Source organism: Homo sapiens, chromosome 6 (genome assembly GCF_000001405.40).
Source record: "Homo sapiens chromosome 6, GRCh38.p14 Primary Assembly".
NCBI lineage: Eukaryota > Metazoa > Chordata > Mammalia > Primates > Hominidae > Homo > Homo sapiens.
Window position 1 is genome coordinate 136,464,638 of NC_000006.12, and position 19,652 is coordinate 136,484,289.

General features: G+C 36.8%; 1 protein-coding gene and 1 pseudogene across 39 annotated transcripts in view, besides 3 other annotated features; both read right to left on the minus strand.

Moving 5' to 3' along the window:
• MAP7 (microtubule associated protein 7) overlaps window positions 1-19,652 on the minus strand; it is a 207,689-nt gene that overhangs the window by 121,904 nt on the left and 66,133 nt on the right. For 4 of the 39 annotated variants that reach the window (XM_047419515.1, XM_011536246.3, NM_001198615.3 and 1 more), the window contains exon 1: window positions 2,124-2,241. The exons of the other annotated variants lie outside the window; for them this stretch is intronic. In XM_047419515.1, the coding sequence (XP_047275471.1) occupies window positions 2,124-2,145 (22 nt within the window). In that variant the 5' untranslated portion in view covers window positions 2,146-2,241. Of the gene's footprint in view, window positions 1-2,123; window positions 2,242-19,652 lie in introns of those variants that run through there. 39 annotated transcript variants of the gene reach the window in all.
• Window positions 244-413: an enhancer, noted in NCBI's record as "experimental_90217 CRE fragment used in MPRA reporter constructs". NCBI's record gives its function as "activates a minimal promoter by MPRAs in K562 erythroleukemia cells, with activity observed for both the introgressed and non-introgressed 6:136786104 or rs17723064 variant alleles {active_cell/tissue: K562}" and the evidence as "EXISTENCE:reporter gene assay evidence [ECO:0000049][PMID:34662402]".
• Window position 329: a transcriptional cis regulatory region, noted in NCBI's record as "Neanderthal adaptively introgressed variant 6:136786104 (GRCh37/hg19 assembly coordinates) or rs17723064 in the experimental_90217 CRE". NCBI's record gives its function as "modulates activity of the experimental_90217 enhancer by MPRAs in K562 erythroleukemia cells {active_cell/tissue: K562}" and the evidence as "EXISTENCE:reporter gene assay evidence [ECO:0000049][PMID:34662402]".
• Window positions 2,480-2,680: a silencer, noted in NCBI's record as "peak6145 fragment used in MPRA reporter construct". NCBI's record gives its function as "represses an SCP1 promoter by STARR-seq MPRAs in K562 erythroleukemia cells {active_cell/tissue: K562}" and the evidence as "EXISTENCE:reporter gene assay evidence [ECO:0000049][PMID:32103011]".
• Window positions 11,234-11,513, minus strand: NDUFS5P1 (NADH:ubiquinone oxidoreductase subunit S5 pseudogene 1; annotated as a pseudogene).

Here is a 19,652-nt window from a genome sequence, read left to right on the forward strand (position 1 = left end):
TGTTCCACTGCAGTGAGACTCCTGATTTTATATAAAACCATATCTTTTTGGTCATTTTGTTTGTCTTTTAATAAAGAGATTAGGTGTGGTCTCTCCTACTTTGCCGTGCTATTGAAAACTAGGGATGGATTCATTAATTTGATAATTAAGTGCCTACTGGTTGCCAGGCACTGTTCTACGTGCTTGGGATACATCAGTGAACAAAACAGATAACATCCCCTGCCCTCTATGAGCATATATTCTAGTGTGAGGAAAGACAATAAGCATTAAAGCATCAGGTAGTGAAAAGTGCTGAAGTCAGACCAAACAATGACAGAGAGCACTTTTTGTCTAGAGGAGGTCACGTGTACCATGCTGTTCATTATTCCACAGCAGCTTGATGGTGAAAACAGGTTCTGCTCCCACAACCATGTGGACTTTCATGAATGAGCAGCAGGGCTGCCGTATGTCGAGTACACACACAGCTGCGAAGTGTGCAGAGGACAGCTCCCCCTGCACCTCCACTGAAATTTGAATTTATGGAAACATGCAGCTTCTGTGTTATCTACTTTTGCAGGAAATTGGAAAACTAGGACCAAAATCAAGCATACAAAAATTGAGTATTTTAAGCCACTTATCTAGGAGTTTTTGACCAATTATCTGGATTTTTAAAAAATTCTCCCTTCAATTTTAAATTTCTTAATTGGACATTTATCCAGTTTTCTTACTGAGTAACCTCTATTTCATCTGATAGAAGCAATCCTATTTTATCACATTCAAATAATAATGAAATTCAGTGCTTATGCATCAACTATGTCTTATCCTAATACTTGAAAAGATATGTAAACATGCTTTCTGCAAAGAAAGATACGTCTCCATAAAACAGAATCATTAAGGGCAAAAAAAATGGAAAGTCAGTTAGCCGATTAAATATCAGGCAAGGCATTTTTACTCTTCTTTAATGTATATACAACCCTGAACATTTGAGATTATTCTATTGTTTAATGATATTGACACACTTATAGAATATAAATCACCTGTCTGAAATCACAGAACTAGTAAATGTCAGAGCTAAAAGACAAATTCAGATCCAACCCCAAAGATATTTCTAATATGCTGCCCGGACTCTATATTTTATAATCATAAAATACCAAAAGCAAACCACTTATTGACACTAATCCATCTTCTAACAGTTGCTGGATACTGGCAAGTATATACCTCACGTATGTCTCCTACATGAAATGTAGGAGGTGTGTTTTTATAACACAAATTTGCAAATGTTATCTGTGAAAATGAAGATTTATATTTTTAAAAGGCAAATAATTTAGTGAATAAGGCAGCTTTATTATTCTAAAAATTAAACTTGATAGAACATCCACATAAACTTCTAGAAAAGAAAATAAAGTGATAAAAGTTACTCCCCGAAATGTAGTCTATAAAGTTCCAATGCTTGTATTTTCTCTGTAAAGCCCATGTGTGACTCACTGTTTACATATCATGAAAATGAGAGCATTCTGGGGAAAGACATAACTGGGCAGCACAAATAATGTTTCTGATATAAAACAAAACAAAATAAAAAAATAAGTAGGCAAGATAAATGTGATCTTTCTTTTTAATAAGCAAACAACAGCACTCCCCAAATACACCTCTCTAAATAGAAAAGCAACCATTTTTCAAAAACCCTGATCTGATCTAGACACAAATATTAAGAGGTCTAAGAAATTATCAGTAAATTATATACTGAAATTTTTTTTGGACAGCAGCATAATTGTGTATGTTTGTCTAGTTTGCTACTGTTCAGCTTCTCACTTTGTTTTTGTCAAAAAAAGAAAGAAGTATGGAAAATAGAGAATGATGATGGTTTGCCTTTAATTTTCATGGAAACTATCAAACGGCTCTAGGACATGAAGGTAGAAGTATAAATCCATAGTTTATATAATAAATATCATTTTATTTAATTAAATTCCCACTCCTTTTTCTAAGGACATTAAAACAATGATTAAAAAAAAAAAGATTAGAAGATTTCCTACTCTGTACTTCCACTTGTTATAAGTATTAATTTGTCAAAATGGATTTAAAGATTGCCTGATTCTTGAACGTCCTTATTAAGGTTTTCAAAACACATTTTGAGCCCAAGAACTTACAGTACAGTTTAGTGTCTTCCATGCTAAAATCCTTCTTTCTTGAATATCCTGCAACATATCTGCATGTCTCCCTCTTCTTGCTTTGTGTCCCTCAGCCAGGCAAAGACCAAATATCAGTGAAGGGGCCGTTTAATCATGCTAACTATTATCTCTCACACAGCTTGAGGTAGCTCAAGAGGAGAGCAAAGGGTGGTGAGACATACAACTCGACAGCCACTGTTTTTAAACAGTAACCGTGTTCACTGAACCAAGCAAAAACTGGGAAATGCTTCTGTTCAAAAAAGCCAGTGAAGCTCAAATGGCTATGGGCTGGGAGTAGGGGAGGCTTTTCCTGGTTAAGAAATGGTTGCTAAACATCAGCTCGGTCTCAGGGATTCAAACTCAGAGGCCCCAAACAGAATGCACATTAAACATACATTAAAAACTTAGCTGTTTACCAAAATCATCTAAACATTACATACTATTTCTCCAGACTGTCTGTCTTTGGGCTTCCTGATGCATTAACAGTGACATTTAAAACCCTGAAGGTTATGGCTGATTTTGTTTCCATACTAAAAGCATCTGAAAAAGGCGATCATTTAAAATCAGTCAGGCAGAGTGGCCTCTGTTCTCCCTTCACTGCTGAGAACAGACATGGAGTCACTGAGAAAGTGTATGGAATGACATTTAGGTGCCCTGTTCAGAAAGTCCAAAAACTTGACTTGCTTTAGTAAGTTCTGAATAATTCTGAAGGCTTTCCCAGGGGAGAAGAAGAACTAGTGAATTTAAATGCTAAAGTTTTAGAAGTTATTTCTATATATGTTAAATATTGGTCCTCAGAGTTTATCATTTTTTAGTCAGTGATATATTGCATTGTAAACTGTGAACTCAACATGTCTACCACACTTTTGACTTGGGATTATCTTTAGAAGGGCTTTTTGTTTAGGGTCATAGAGTGGGAACCGAGGAGAAAGGATCAGGTTAAAACCTTGCCTTGCCCTCACAGCATTTAAAAACATGTGACTTGGGGGCCAGAACACTTTGATTACAACCAATTAACTTAATGAGTTTGGGTGAGCAGTGGGCCCAATGTGAAAAGGAAAACACAATTTTTAGAAGAAAATAAAACCTGCCAAGCCCCTCTGAACTAGCCCCTTTGAGCAGTTGGACCTGACCCAATAAAGAGATTGGCCACTCATGGTTTCTAAGACGCGTGAGGGTCAAGTGTGGGCACTGGACTTGGCAACTAACCTTGTTAATACCCTTGGAACTACCGACTCCTTAGGAGGAGCCAGTGGAGTGCCCCTTCTAGCCCAGCACCACCCCTACAGCCCCAGAGACCCAGCATCAGAGCGTGTGACCACCACTCCCCACCCACTCCATTTTCAAAAGTAGCCTATATAGACATGGGCAACACCTTGCGTGCATGGCTCCTTACCTTGGTACTACTGACTTTTTTTTTCTTTTTATCCTTCTTATGGTACTGATCCTGACATTATAGACTGGATAATTCTTTGTTGTGGGTGGCAGCTGAAATTTATTGATCATCTATTATGTGTCAGATATTATTTTAAGGGCTTTTACACATATGAACTGGTCTAATCTCACAACAACCCTATTATGACGCCAGTTTTACAGATGAGGAAACTCTGAGATGCAGAAGAACTGCTGAAGATGTTAAGTGGCAGACTCTTCATCCCGATACAGATGCTGCTCGACTTACAATGGGGTTATGTCCTGATAAGCCCATTATAAGTTAAAAATATCATAAGTTGAAAAAGCATTTAATACACCTACTGAATATCATAGCTTAGCCTAGCCTACCTTAAATGTGCTAAGAACACTGACATTAGGCTATAGTTGGCAAAACCATCTAACACAAAGCTTATTTTGTAATACAGTGTTGAATATCTCATGTAATTTATTTAATACTGTACCCAAAGTGAGAAACAGAATTGTTGTATGGGTACTCAAAGTGTGTTTTCTACTGAATGCATATGGCTTTCACACCATCATAAAGCTGAAAACTCTTAAGTCGGGACCTGGCTGCACTATGTTCTGCTGCAGCATCTACCCTCCCTCTAAGTAAGGAGGTGACTTCTCACTTCCGAGCAACAAAGACATTCAGGCCAGTGCTGCCTGCTGATGGGAAATGACTGGTACCACAAGGACAGAAGAAAGGCAGGGAAAGACAGAGGACATTGTGTGGAGACAGTGCACCACTCTTCCCTTAGCAAAAACAGTTTTTTGTTGTTTTTTTTTTTAACTAAATGGTGGTGAATTCATCCAGAAAAACAGCTGAATGACAACAAGAGAGAAAAGAGAATAAAGGTTTTTGTATACGACAAGTGGCTCAAGCCAATTTCTCTGTCCCAGTGCATGGAGCAGTGGGTACTATCAATTATGTATCATCTTAAACTGTACACTGCACAGCCACTGTCATAGAAAGAGGCATGATCCTAAATCCACACATCATTCTTGGTATTTTCTCAAGACTAAGGTATCAGCTTATCACCCCGCTTTTGGTTTCATTCTCTTTTCTTTTCTTTCTTTCCCTCCCTCCCTCCCTGCCTTCCTCTTCTTCCTTCCTTCCTCCCTACTTTCTTTCTTGCTTGCTTGCTTTCTCTTTCCTTTCTTTCTCTCTCTTTCTCTCTTTTTCTTTCTTTGAAGGTCTCATTGTCACCCAGGCTGCAGTGCAGTGGTGTGATCTTGGCTCACTGCAACCTCTGCCTCCTGGACTCAAGTGATCCTCCCATCTCAGCCTCTCGAGTAGCTGGGACCACAGGGGCATGCCACCATGCCCAGCTTTTTTGGAGGGGGGTAGGGAAGGGGTTTTGCCATGTTGCCATGTTGCCCAGGCTGGTCTTGAACTCCTGGCTCAAGCAACCCTCCCGTGTCGGCCTCCCAAAGTGCTGGGATTACAGGCATGAGCCACTGCTCCTGGCTTGGTTTCATTTTCAATATACTATATAGCAAAACTACATCAGTGCTGGATACTGGCAGATGGATAAAGCCCAAACTGATAGCTTACAATTTAATGTAAAGAAATGGAAATCAAGGGGAAATAAAAATTTGTTCAAGTCAAGATCACACAATAATCCCTAACAAATGTAAAATACAATAAACATTTTGTAATGGGAGTTGGTGAATTATAAACTTGACTACAGAGGAGTTCGGGGAGAACTCTGAGGGTCCACGTCCTCCCCTTTTGTGCATGGATTCATTTCCTGTTCACTGCCTACCTGCTTTCTTCAGAGTCGTTCTAACCCTGCTCTCTAGTCAAGTTCATGATTCAACAGCTCTTTCCTCCATTCTTGTCTATGCTGCCACCCTCGAAACTGAAGAAAGCCTTGTCTTGCCCCGCTAACATGTGGAGGCCCTTCCCATCCTTTCCGATTCTCTCATCAAATCTGCAATCTGACACCTTGCTCTGCTTTGTTCTTTCTTCTTTCCTGTTTCTCCCTCTTAACTTTTGGCTACTAAGAGAGAAACTGGTTTTTGTAAAACGGGAACTCTGAAGTTGCAGCAAGAATTCCATGAGGTTATGAAATATCTAGTAGCAGTCCTGCTTATTGTTTCCTCCCCAGCTTTCTGAAGTATAATTGGCAAATAAAAATTGTATATATTTAGGGTGTACAACATAATGGTGTGCTCTACATACACACTGTGAAATGATTACCACAATCGAGTTAATTAACACTTCCATCACCTCCCATAGTTATCATTTTGTGTGTGTGGTAAGAACACAAGATCTACTCTCTTAGCAAATTCAAAGTATACGATATAGCATTGTTAATGATAGTTACCATGCTGCACATTAGGTCTCCAGAATTTAGTCATCCTGCCTGAGATTTTGTACCCTTTGGCCAATATCTCATTTTCCCCACCCTCCTCTGCTTGCTTTCAACAAAGCTTTATTCCACAAAGAATTGTGTCCTTCTGCATTCTTTTGTATTCCTTAGAACACATCAGAGGTGGGAGGAGTAAAAGGGGTGTGTGTGCGTTTTCGTGTGTGTGTGATAGTGAATGTATAAATGAAAAGATGAAGATCTAGTTGTTCTACCAGATAACTGAAAGCATATGGATAGGCTAAGCACTTCCTCTGAAAAAAAAAATTGCACTTACAGTGTATTCTCATTATTTACAAGAATTTAAATGTTTTTTCCTTGCAGAGTTTCACATATTTTACACTAGAATCATATATACTAAATTTCATTATCATCATTATCAAAATGGTACAGTTTAAACTCTTGGTGTTTGGTAGAATTGCGTTTATCTAACATAAATGCTGGGGAGCTTGGCTATTGTTATTTTAACAGGCAAATGCTGAGAAACATTTCACTTATATTTTATTTATGGTTATAGAAAAGTAAAAGCAGAGATTCATTTTATAAAGAAGTTTGTGCTTTTTTTGCTGAAAAATTGAAAAGCTAAAAGCACACATACAATATACATTATTAAAGGACCCAGTTCACCCAGTCTATTATTTGATGCAAGCTGGTTTTGATCATGGTGGGTCTTACTTGAACACACCTGAATTGTTCCAAATCCCAATGACAACCCAGGGGTACTGCAGCACATCACTTGCTCTGGACACCCTTCTTAATCGTAGTTCTTTATTTGCCATTGCTTTTGTGTTTGAAAAGTAGTAAGTGGAGCTTTGGGAGGGTTTTTGTTTGTTTTCAACATTTACAATCTAATCTGGCACTCGGGTTTTACTTTCCTTTTCAACAGTTATCTTATTCTCTTTTCTTTTTCCTTTAGAGAGTCTCTAGAGGACACACTTTTCAAGATGCTGGAAAAGGAAGTTGCTGGGGGTTTTTTTAGCCCAAGTTATATAGTACCTTGGACAGTGACAAAAGCTACCCATGCTGTTTATTTAGGAGACACTCACTAAATAAAGATTCAGTTACAAACGTACCCCGCATATGACTGTTTCCCAAAATCTGCATTTACATTACCCTGGAATCTTGCACGCGGTCCTTGAATTGCAGAACCATCTACACTTCACAAAAGCAGACAAAACTATAACAAAAGATACTTTTATTTTCTATATTAATACTTTTCTACTCTGCCTATAATCAAGCCTTCCCACTCTTCTTCCTACCCTTACTACAGGCATATCACCAGCTATGACTGGCTTTCCTGTGGCACTTGTGAGACTGATGCTGGTTTAGGGATAATTACAATGAAGTCACTTTTAAATATTTATGATTGAAGCGAAAGTTCTTATGGAACATTTCAGCAAAATCAGGTTGCCCAGTCTAGATTATTGGGGCTGAAATCCAGTAAGAGTCAAATGCTAGACTCTTTCTAGCAAGAGTCAATTGCTAGCAAGAGTCAATTGATTCTTTCAATGGAAATAATTTCTGCCAAAATACTATTTCTCAACCATTTTTTTGCAACAGCTCAAAGATTCAATTGTCCCCTTTCACATGGGAAACTTGTAGTGAAATATTGTCTGAACTCACTACCTTTTCCTGTCAATTCCTACAAATTAATTACAATGTATTTCAGAGAGGATTTCACTGATACAGAGGATTAATGGGAGAGCCTGACAGCTGGAGTCCTATGTTAGGTTAGAAATTAAAATAAGGAACTTGACCTACTTTCAAAAGGGACATTTGTTAATTTCCTTAAAACAAACCAATGTAATCTTTCAGTTATTTGCCTTCAGAATATGGGGCTAAAATACCTATGTTATCATAGGGAACAAAAACACATTATCCATATGTGTAAGAAACTCTTGTACAAAATATCTTTGACTTTAAAAAACACATATAATTTGATGTTTCCTTTTTGGTATATCCCAGGCTATGAACATTCACTCATTGCTCCCAACCACTAGCCCTAGACAATACACTCTCCTCAGTGAGTAGCAGCCAGTAATGCCACAATGAAACTGGGGAATAGATGGAAGGAAAAAAGTCAAGTCTAATATACCCAAAAGAAGAAATTCTTCTCTTATAACCTAATTTGCATACAGCCTACTTGACATATTGGGCAAACAGTCTAGGCTTAAACCAGCATTACCACTTTGCTTCCAGCTTTAGCCTACCAACTCATTCCTATAACTTGTCAGATTAGTCTCCCTAAAAAAAAAATAAATAAAAATAAAAAAATTAAAAAAACAGCTCAAGTAGCTCATCATTCCCCTGCTCAAATCATATCTTCCAAGTGCCCACTAAATCCAGGTCACTGCAATTTCTTTCCATCTACTTTTCAAGAATTATTCCCATTCCCAGATATCCCATGGTTTTACAGAATGGATGCACTTGCTATTCCTTTAATATGCCTCATGATTTCCTTCTCTATTTCCTTCTTTCATGCTGGCTCTTCTTTCCACCTGAAATGTCTCTTCAATCACCTCTGTTAAATCTTCCAAACACATCAAGAGCCAAGGCACATGCCCTCACCCTCTCTAAAGTACATCTCAATTCTCCCAAACAGAAGTGCTCGTCTTCTCTCTATAGAAACCAAAAACACATTGATTAACCTTCTCTAACAGCATTACTGCAGGAGGAGAGGGTTATCAGACTCATCTGTTTAGTCCCTGAAAGGCTTTGTGTATAGCTCAAGAAACACCCTAAACTGCAATGGCCTACCCTCCAGTATGAGTCAATTCCAGTGGCACTGGGATATAATAACAAGCTGCAATCTCAAAGTTCAGACATAACTGCTATAAATATTTTAGTATCTGTTCTTGTAGATTTTTTGAAGTATAAATATGTACATGTGTATAATATGAAAATGGGATCTTCCATGTAACACTATTTTAGAATCTGTTTGACATCTGACATCTTCCATGTAAAAAGTATGTTTCTAAAATGCCTTTATTAATGGCTGTATAATATTGAATCATAGGGAAGCACTAACTTATGTAGCAGATTCCCAAAATTAGACTGTTTCCAATTTTTCAATATTATAAAGCAAGGCTGCCTATAGAGTTGTACAAACTTTATCAATGTCTGAAGGGTAAATTCCTCAAGAGGAATTGCTAAATCTTTGGTTACGAACATTTAAAAAGAATAGTGATATATTTTGCCAAAGAGAACCCTTATTGCTTCATCCTGATTGATGGTGGTGATTCATTTACTAGTGTCTCTCATTTACCAAATGCCTGCTGTGTTCCAGGAGCTGTTCTTCAAGACGCTTACATCCACTGGATGAAGACAGATAATATATGAGAGAACAGGTTAATAAATCAGATCAATATTATGAAAAAACAATATTGGGGGTGGGAGGAGGAGATGTTTGTGGGGGTGGTCAGGGAGGGCCTCTCTGAGGAAGTAGCAGTACAGGTTAAGGAGGACCCAGTAATTCCAAAAGCCAAGAAATGAGTGCTTCAGATAGAGGGATGAGTAAGGGCAAAGACCCTGAGGCCAGAGTGAAAATGAATATTAAGAGGGTAGAAAGAAAGTCACTCTGGGTTAAAAAGTGGTGAGAAAGAACAAATGCAGGGAATTGTAGTTCATATTAAAAATTTTATATTAACACCAATGGGAAACCTTTGGCAGGTAAAAAGCTTTAAGGAGAAGAGTGCCAAAATCTGTCCTATTAGTCTAAAAGGTGACTCTGGTTGCTGTGTAGAGACTGACTAGAAGTCAGGGTGTACACGGCAGGGGCGAGTGTAGAGCAGTGAGCCCAGTTCAGTCACTGATATCATAATCTGAGGAGAGAGCAGATGACGTCTGGACCAGAAATGGACATAAGTAGACAACTGTGATATACTTTGGAGGTAGTGCCAACAGCGTTTTTTAATGGATTGGATGACACCTGGCAGTTGGCTGAGTACTACTACAACAGAGCGGCCTCAGCGCCAAACAAGTGTGAGGAAAAGAATCAAGAAAGAAAAGAAGATGCATCAAAAAGGTAAAATCTGTGACAATGTGATAGACAAAGATGTAATCACACTGTTTCTCTATATTTTATGTAGTTTATTCTATAAATATTGTCTTCTATGCTGCATGTCAATCTAAAACTTTTTTTTTTTTTTGGTGACAGCATCTTGTTCTTTCATCCAGGCTGGAGTGCAATGGCACGATCTCAGCTCACTGCAATCTCTCCCTGGGCTCAAGTGATCCTCCCACCTCAGCCTCCCAAGTAGCCGGGACCACGGGTGCACACCATTATGCTTGGCTAATTTTTGTATTTTGGGTAGAGACGGGGTTTCACTATGTTGCCCAGGCTGGTCTTGAACTCCTGACCTCAAGTGATCTGCCCACCTCAGTTTCCCAAAGTGCTGGGATTACACGCATGAGCCATCATACAAGGCCAATCTAAAATTTTTATAATTACTTTCCATGACAATAAAAGCTCTTCATAGATGTACCAAATATGCTAAGTATGTTGGCCTTCTGCACATTCAAGTTATTTCAATTTTTACTATGACTTTATACATAAAGCTTTAACTGCAGATTAGATTGTAAGGGGAATTAGTAGGTCAAAAGTAGGAATAGCTTTAGGGCTTTAATACCTAGCACCCAGAATAATTTCCTGACAGGTTTTACCAATTTACTCTCTTACCAACACTGTAGGTGAGTTATTATCTAAATGTATTGCATATTCTCATTAAAAGCAAACATAAATCTTGGTATAGCATTTATAAAAGGTCATGAACATAAATTATATAATTGAACATACAGGAGAATTAGCATTTTTGGAGAATATATTATCATTTTAATACAAATTTTGCCAGTAGTACTGTAGATTCTCTAACAAAGGCATTTCTACTGAAAATAGTTATATAAACTCTCAGATTACAGCTCTTACTATGAACTACTGAGAGCAGATCAGCCTTCTTGATGTGTTGTTGATCTTTAAACTTTCTTTGAAATATAATAAACATACTGCTAAACAACATCATGTTCAACCTCCTGTGATTTAAATAATCTGCTACAAAGTTAATATGCCAGAATTTTATTATCAAAAATTATAATTAGTTATGAAAGGTGTATGAGAAGGTTGGTTTACTTTTTATTTTTTTTTAGGATGGAGCAATCCTTTACTTTTATATGCTTTGATAAAGAGGTTTTCAATACACCATCTTCCCAATGGAGAAGAGAGAACATGAAAATCAGCCTCTAGCCATCATCAGCAGCTCTGCTCGGGGCCTAAGATCCTCCTTGCGCATGTGGCAATGAAGGGGTATACTTCCCTTCCTTTATGAGCGCAGCCTGCTGCTTCTTGATGATACTTATGTTTCATCATTTTCTGTTGAAACATACATTCTATGAAACCATCAAATTGTATCTTGTACTCTTTCTCTGCCTAGATACTACCAATTCCACTTATACATTCTTTTTTGAAAGCATAGCATTAAGCAGAAAGCTCGTGGGGCAATTCAGCATGGATTGTCATCCAATGATCTTTGTTATGGTCCAGTCTTTTCTGCACATCAAAGAAATGTAAGGTGTCCCACACAGTGCCCTTGTCTCCTCCCTAGCCTGGTTTAATTTACTTGAGTGTGCACTATGCAAAGGGATCCTGCTTTGCTTCTGACAGTAGGGCCCATGTAACATGGGGCCTGTCATTTATTCTCAAGAGCTGTGCTGTCCAGTAGGGTAGCCTCCAGCCACATGTGCCTATTTAAATTTAAATTAATTAAAAATTCAGTTTCTTAGTTGCAGTAGCCACAGTTTAGATAATTTCTAAAGTACCTTCTAGAACTAAATTCTAATGATTTTTGTGGCTTTGAAGTTCCTTTTAAGGTGCTTTCTCTGAAAACTTTATAAAAATATAACTTCAAACATTTTAACTCATTAATAGAATTTCAAAAATGAAAGCTTCTTTAAGATCATCTTCATTTATTTCCTAATATTTAACATAGAAAAAGTTGGAATAGAGGATATAAGAGATTTGTTCAAGTTCGTATGACTAGTGAATGGATGAGCAGAACCAGAACATACAATTCATAATCTATCACACCTGCTCCAGGAATTCCACTGTGTAAGAGAAAAGGAATCAGTTACATTAAAAGCAAAGACCAGTGAGTGTATGCATACATTTTAGGTGTGTATGTGTATGTATACATGTGTGTGTATATATATACAAATCTGAGACAATTTGAGCATCAAAATATGTAATTAGCAAAAAGAATTATAACTCATAGAATAAATATTCACAAGTCTACACTGATATAAACAAGAGAGAAGTTAGACCTCTTCTTTATGGTAGAAAGCCAACTAATAAATGTGGAAGGAATTAATTTTTAAAAATCACTATTTGGCAACCAATACAAATACTAATTGATCCAGGCAAGAATCACTGAGGCTAAAGTTAATGGATGAATATATAAGAAAGAAGAGAATATTTACATGGTTTCAAAATAATTCCTCATAAGATACTTACTAACTGAAAAGGAAAAATTGGTAACCTGATAGTGGAGAAACTTAGCAGATACCACCTCAAACACGTGATGGAGGTTAAAGCTGGAACAAATCAACATGTGCCTCCTGATACGATACATGGAGAACAAAACATCACTTCTGCGGCATTCAGGCGAAAAATATATTACCTCAGTCTAATCATAAGGAAATATCAGGCAAATCCAAATTGAGAGACATCCTACAAAACAACTGCCCTTGAATGCTTCAAAAATGTAATATCATGAACTACAAAGACAGAGAGGAAGTGATAAAGATTAAAGAGACAAAATAGCACAATACATAATCTTGATTTTCATTTGTTAGAAAAGATATTGGGACAAATGATGAAATCTTTATAAAGTCTATAGATTAGACAATGGAAACCCCCAAAAGAGGAGTAACTAAACTTATATCGGACAAAAACAGACTTCAAGGCAAAAACTATAAAAAGAGACAAAGAAGGTCATTATTTAATGATAAAGGAGTGAATTCATTAATTGCAGATATAACAACTGCAAATATATAGGCACCCAATACTGGAGCACTCAGAAATATAAAGCAAATGTTAGAGCTAAAGAGAGAGAATGACACCATTACAGTAATAGCTGGACACTTCAACACCACAATTTCAGCACTGGACAGATCATTCAGACAGAAAATCAACAAACATCACACTCAATCTGCACTATAGATCAAATTGATCTAATAGGTATTTATAGGACATTTCATCCTATGGCTGCAGAATACACATTCTTCTCCTCAGCACATGGATCATTCTCAAGGTTGGAACATATGTTAGGCCACAAAACAAGTATTTTAAAATTCAAAAATAATTAAATAATATCAAGGACCTTCTCTGATCACAATAGAATAAAACTAGAAACCAATAGCAAGAAGAATTTTGAAAACTACACAAATGCATGGAAATTAAACAATATGCTCTTGAATGACCAGTGGGTCAATGAACTAACAAATTTCTTGTAACAAATGAAAATGCAAACACATTATACCAAAACCTATAGGATACAGTGAAAACTATAAAAGGAAAGTTTATAGCACTAAGTGCCTACATCAAAAAAGCTGAAAAACTTCAAATAAGTAACCTAACAACATTGTACAGAACAAGAATAGCAAGAGCAAACCAAACACAAGATTAATAGAAGAAAAGAAATTAGGGCATAAATAAATAAAATTGGCCAGGTGTGGTGGCTCAGGCCTGTAATCCCACCATTTTCGGAGGCCAAGGTGGGAGGATGGCTTGAGGCCAGGAGTTCAAGACCAGCCTGGGCAAGACAGCAAGACCCTGTCTGTACCAAAAAACAAAAACAAAAACAAACAAAAAAACAAACCAAACAAAAAGAGAAACATAACTTCTTTAAAAAAATACAAAAGATTAACAAAATGAAGCACTGGTTTTTTGAAAAGATAAACAAAATCAACAAAACATTAGCCAGAACAACTAAGAAAAAAAGAGACATAATCCAGATAAAATCAGAAATGAAAAAGGAGGCATTACAACCAATATTGCAGAAATTCAAAGGATCATTAGAGGCTACTATGAGCAACTATATACCAATAATATACCTAGAAGAAATGGATAAATTCCTAGACACACAAATCTACCAAAGTTGAACCATGAGGAAATCCAAAACCTGAACAGACCAATAACAAGTAATGAGATCAAAGTAATAATAAAAAGTTTCCCAGCAAAGAAAAGCAAAGGACTCCATGGCTTTACTGCTGAATTTTACTAAATATTTAAAGAAGAACTAATGCTAATCCTACTCAAATTTTTTCCAGAAAAAAAAGTGGAGGAGGGAGTACTTCCAAAGTCATTCTAAGAGGCATGATACCAAAATCAAACAGACACATCAAAAAAAAAAAAAAAAGAAAGAAAGAAAAGAAAAAGAAGGAAATGAAGAAAGAAAGAAAGAAAAAGAAAAAAGAAAAGAAAAGAAAGAAAACAAACTACAGGCCAAGATCCCTGATGAGCACTGATACCAAAATCCTCAACATAATACTAGCAAACCAAATTCAATAACACATTAAAAAGATCATTCATCACGACCCAGTGGGATTTATCCCAGGAATGAAAGGATGGTTCAACATCGCAAACTCAACGTGATACATCATATCAACAAAATAAAAAACCACATAATTATTTCAAGTGATGCTGAAAAAGCATTTGATAAAGGTCAACATCCTTTCATGATAAAAATCCTAAAAAACTGGGAATAGAAGAAACATACCTTAACATAATAAAAGCCATATATGACAGACTCACAGCTAGTATCATATTGAATGAGGAAAAACTGAAAGCCTTTCCTTTAAGATCTGGAAAAAGACAAGAATGTCCACTTTCACCACTGTCATTCAACATAGTACTGGAAATCCTAGCTAGAGTAATCAGACAAGAGAAAGAAATAAAGTGCATCCAAATTGGAAAGGAAGAAGTCAAATTATTCTTGTTTGCAGATGATATGACCTCATATTTGGAGAAGCCTAAAGACGTTACCAAAATACTATTATAACTGATAAACAAATTTAGTAAAGTTGCAGGATACAAAATCAAACATACAAAAATCAGTAGCATTTCCATACACCAACAGCAAACAGTCAAAATCAAGAAAGTAATCCCATTTACAATAGCTACAAATAAAATACCCAGAAATAAACTTAACCAAAAAAGTGAAAGATATCTTCAAGTAAAACTGTAAAACACTGATGCCAGAAATCGAAGGGGACACACAAAAAAAGAAAGATTGGAAAGATGTTCATAAATATGAAAAATCAATATTGTTAAAATGTTAGAATGTCCATAGTGCCCAGATTCAATGCAATTCCTATCAAAATACCAATGACATTCTTCACAGAAATAGAAAAACAATCCTAAAATTTATTTGGAACCACAAAAGACCCCAATAACCAAAGCTATCCTAAGCAAAAAGAACAAAATTAGAGGAATCACATTACTTGACTTCAAATTATACTGCAGAGTCATAGTAACCAAAATAGCATGGTACTGGCATAAAAACAGACACACAGAACAATGGAACAGAATAGATAACCCAATAATGAATCCATACATCTACAGTAAATGCATTTTCAACAAAGTTGCCAAGAACATAAACTGGCAAAAGGACTGTCTCTTCAATAAATGGTGCTGGGAAAATTGGATATCCATATGCAGAAGAATGAAACTAGATCTCTATCTCTTGCCATATACAAAAATCAAATCAAAATGTATTAAATTCTTACATCTAACACTTCAAACTATGAAACTACTAAAAGAAAATATTGGGGAGATGGGTGGATCATGAGGTCAGGAGATCAAGACCATCCTGGCTAACACGGTGAAACCCCATCTCTACTAAAAATACAAACAATTAGCTGGGCATGGTGGCGGGTGCCTGTAGTCCCAGCTACTCGGGAGGCTGAGGCAGGAGAAAGGTGTGAACCTGGGAGGCAGAGCTTGCAGTGAGTCAAGATTGCGCCACTGCACTCCAGCCTGGGTGACAGAGTGAGACTCTGCCTCAAAAAAAAAAAAAAAAAAAAAAAAAAAAGAAAAGAAAACGTTGGGGAAACTCCCCAGAATATTGGTCTGGGCAAAGATTTCTTGAATAATACCCCAGAGGCACAGGCAACCAAAGCAAAAATAGACAAATGGGATCACTTCATGTTAAAAAGCTTTTCACAGGAAAGGAAACAATCAAAAAGGGAAGAGACACCCCACAGAGTGGAAGAAAATATTTGCAAACTATCTATTTGACAAGGGAATAATAATGAATATGTAAGGAGCACAAACAGCTCTATAGGAAAATATCTAATGATCTGATTTTGAAACGGGCAAAAGGTCTAAATAAACAGTTCTCAAAAGAATACATACAAATGTCAAATAGGTATATGAAAAGGTGCTCACCATCATTGATTATCAGAGAAATGCAAATCAAAACTACAATGAGATATCATCTCACCCCCGTTAAAATGGCTTTTATCCAAAAGTCAGGCAATAACAAATGCTGGTGAGGATGTAGAGAAAAGGAAACCCTTGTACAATGCTGGTGGGAATGTTAATTAGTACAACTACTATGGAGAACAGTATGAAGGTTCTATAAAATCCTGAAAATAGAACTACCATATGATCCTAGAATACCACTGCTAGGTATATACTCAAAAGAAAGGAAACTAAATGTAGCAAAGAGATATCTGCACTATTATATTTATTACAGCACTAGTTACAACAGCTTTGGAAGCAACCTAAGTGTCGATCAACAGACAAATGAATCAAGAAAATGTGGTATGTATGCACAATGGAGAACGACTCAGCCATAAAAAAGAATGAGATCTTGCTATTTGCTACAACATGGATGGAAATGGAAGAAATTAAGTGAAATAAGCGAGGGACAAAAAGACAGACTTTGTGTGTTCTCATTTGTGGAAGCTAAACATTAAAACAACTGAACTCACAGAGATAAATGGTAGGATGATGGTTATCAGCAGCTGGGAAGAGTAGTGCAAGTGGTGGTGGGGATGGAGGGAGTAGGGATGGTTAACGGTACAGAAAAATAACTAGAATAAGATCTCATATTTGATAGTACAACAGGTTGACTACAGTCAACAATTTATTGTACATTTAAAAATAACTAAAAGAGTATAACTGGATTGTTTGTTACACAAAGAAAGAATAAATGCTTGTGGTAATGAACACCCCATTTACTCTGATGTGATTATGTATTATATGCCTGTATCAAAATATTTCACATACCCCATAAATATATATAGCCACTAGAGATCCACAACAAATTTTTTTAAAATTATTAACATTTGAAAAATCCAAGTGAAGGGTACATGGGAATTCTTTGTCCTATTCTTGCAACTTTTCAGCTTTTCTGTAGGTCTGACATTATGTATGTGAAAATTTTTAGAAAGATTTACATTAGACAAATGTAAATTAAAACCACAATGAGATACTATCTCACACCAGTCAGAAAGGCTCTTATTAAAACGTCAAAAAATAACAGACGCTGGGTGAGTTTGCAGAGAAAAGGCAACGCTTATATATTGCTGGTGGGCATGTAAATTAGTCACAGTGGAAAGCAGTTTGGTGATTTATCAAAGAACTTGAAACAGCAGTACCATTTGACCCAACAATACCATTATTGGGTATATATCCAAAGAAATATAAATTGTTCTACCATAAAGACACATAGAGCTGGGTGTGGTGGCTCACGCCTGTAATCCCAGCACTTTGGGAGGCCAAGGAGGGTGGATCACCTGAGGTCAGGAGTTCGAGACCAGCCTGGACAACATGGTGAAACCCCGTCTCTACTAAAAATACAAAAATATTAGCTGGGTGTGGTGGCACATGCCTGTAATCCCAGCCACTCGGGAGGCTGAGGCAGGAGAATCACTTGAACCTGGGAGGCAGGGGTTGCAGTGAGCCAAGATCGTGCCACCACACTCTAGCCTGGGCAACAGAGGGAGGCTCCATCTCAAAAAAAAAAAAAACAGACGCATGCATATGTTCATCACAGCACTATTCATAATAGCAAAGATATGGAATCAACCTAGATGCCCATCAATGGTAGGCACGATAAAGAAAATGGGCACTGTCTGCTCTTACAAGACCATTCCAGCACATTGTTGGTTGGATACACAGGTCTGGATCTCAGCATGAGGTCCGAAGATGATAGATCGATTTGGCAGGCAACAAGCTGTGTATTTTAAAACCGCTAAACTGTGTTGAGTTTTGCTTTTTGCTCCAGAACTTGGTCAACTAAAAAAAATATATATTCCATTTTGCTGCTAAAAGGCATATATATTGTGCAGATGTTGTATGCAGTGTCTATTTGATCAGGTTTTTTCATTCTGTACAAGTTTTCCACGTCCCTATTGATTGAATTCTTTGTCTGCTTGTCTTATTAATTACTGAGAGATGTATTCCTTTTGTTGTGGGTTTGTTTTAGTTGTATATATATTTGTGACCATGCTATTTTAAGTGAATAAAAAGTGAAGTATCTTTCAAAAAAAAAAAAAAAAAAGAAAAGAAAATGTGGTACATATACACCATGGAATACTATGCAGCCATAAAAAAGAACAGCATCATGTCCTCTGCAGCAACATGGATGGAGATGGAGGCAGTTATCCTAAGTGAACTAATGCAGGAACGGAAAACCAAATACTGCATGTTCTCACTCACATTGAGTACACATGGACACCAAGAAGGGAACAACAGACACCAGGGCCTTCTTGAGGGTGAAGGGCGGGAGGGGGGTGAGGACTAAAATACTACCTATTGGGTACCATGCTTTATTACCTGGTGACACAATAATCTATATACCAAACCCCGGGAACACATTATTTACCTACATAACAAACCTGCACATGTACCCTTGATATAAAAGTATTTTACAAATTAAATTAAATTTAAAAATATTTAAACCAAGGCCACTGAATCCCTATTTATTATTGATAGTTAAAAAAAATGAATGCGACATTTGGCTCCTTTATACTCACAGGAACATTAGTTAAAATGGAAAAAAATTGAATGTAAAACATACCAAAACAAAACAAAAAAAAGTTTTTCTAAAAATACACTGACGTTTTCTCCAAAGCAAAAGATACAAAAAGAAAGAAAGTAAACTTCTTACCTACTCCCTTCTCCATTTCTATTACAACTGTCTTGCTGTAAACTTCAGAGGAAATAGGAAAATGGATTCTTTTACATAGTGGCCTACCTTCAGATATTTTTAACCTTTTTTCAACAGAAAAAAATCAGATTGATTTGATCAGATGGAATAAATTGTCAGATGCCTAATTTAAAACTGGCCAGAAATAAATATGAAAATTGAGCAAAGAGCAATTTGAAGGTGAAACTTGCTGGCTCTGTGTGGCAAAGGGTGATAGAATCTCTCTTATCTAGAGCAGCAGGTGCTGAGCTGGGGGAATTTCTGGGAGCAATTTCTTGAGACCACGCATCAGTTGACTTGAGATTCTTATTCTTGGCTCACGCGAAGCCCTGAAATATCCATCTCAAGTGAGTCCAGCATTCCCCTCCTAGGGCCAGGACAGACCTCACATTGAGCAGCTTGAGCCCTATTAAGAACTGGCACTATTCTTAAACACAAAAGCAAAAAGAAATATTTCTCATACTTTTTCTCCTAAAGTAAAATAAAAGCTAACT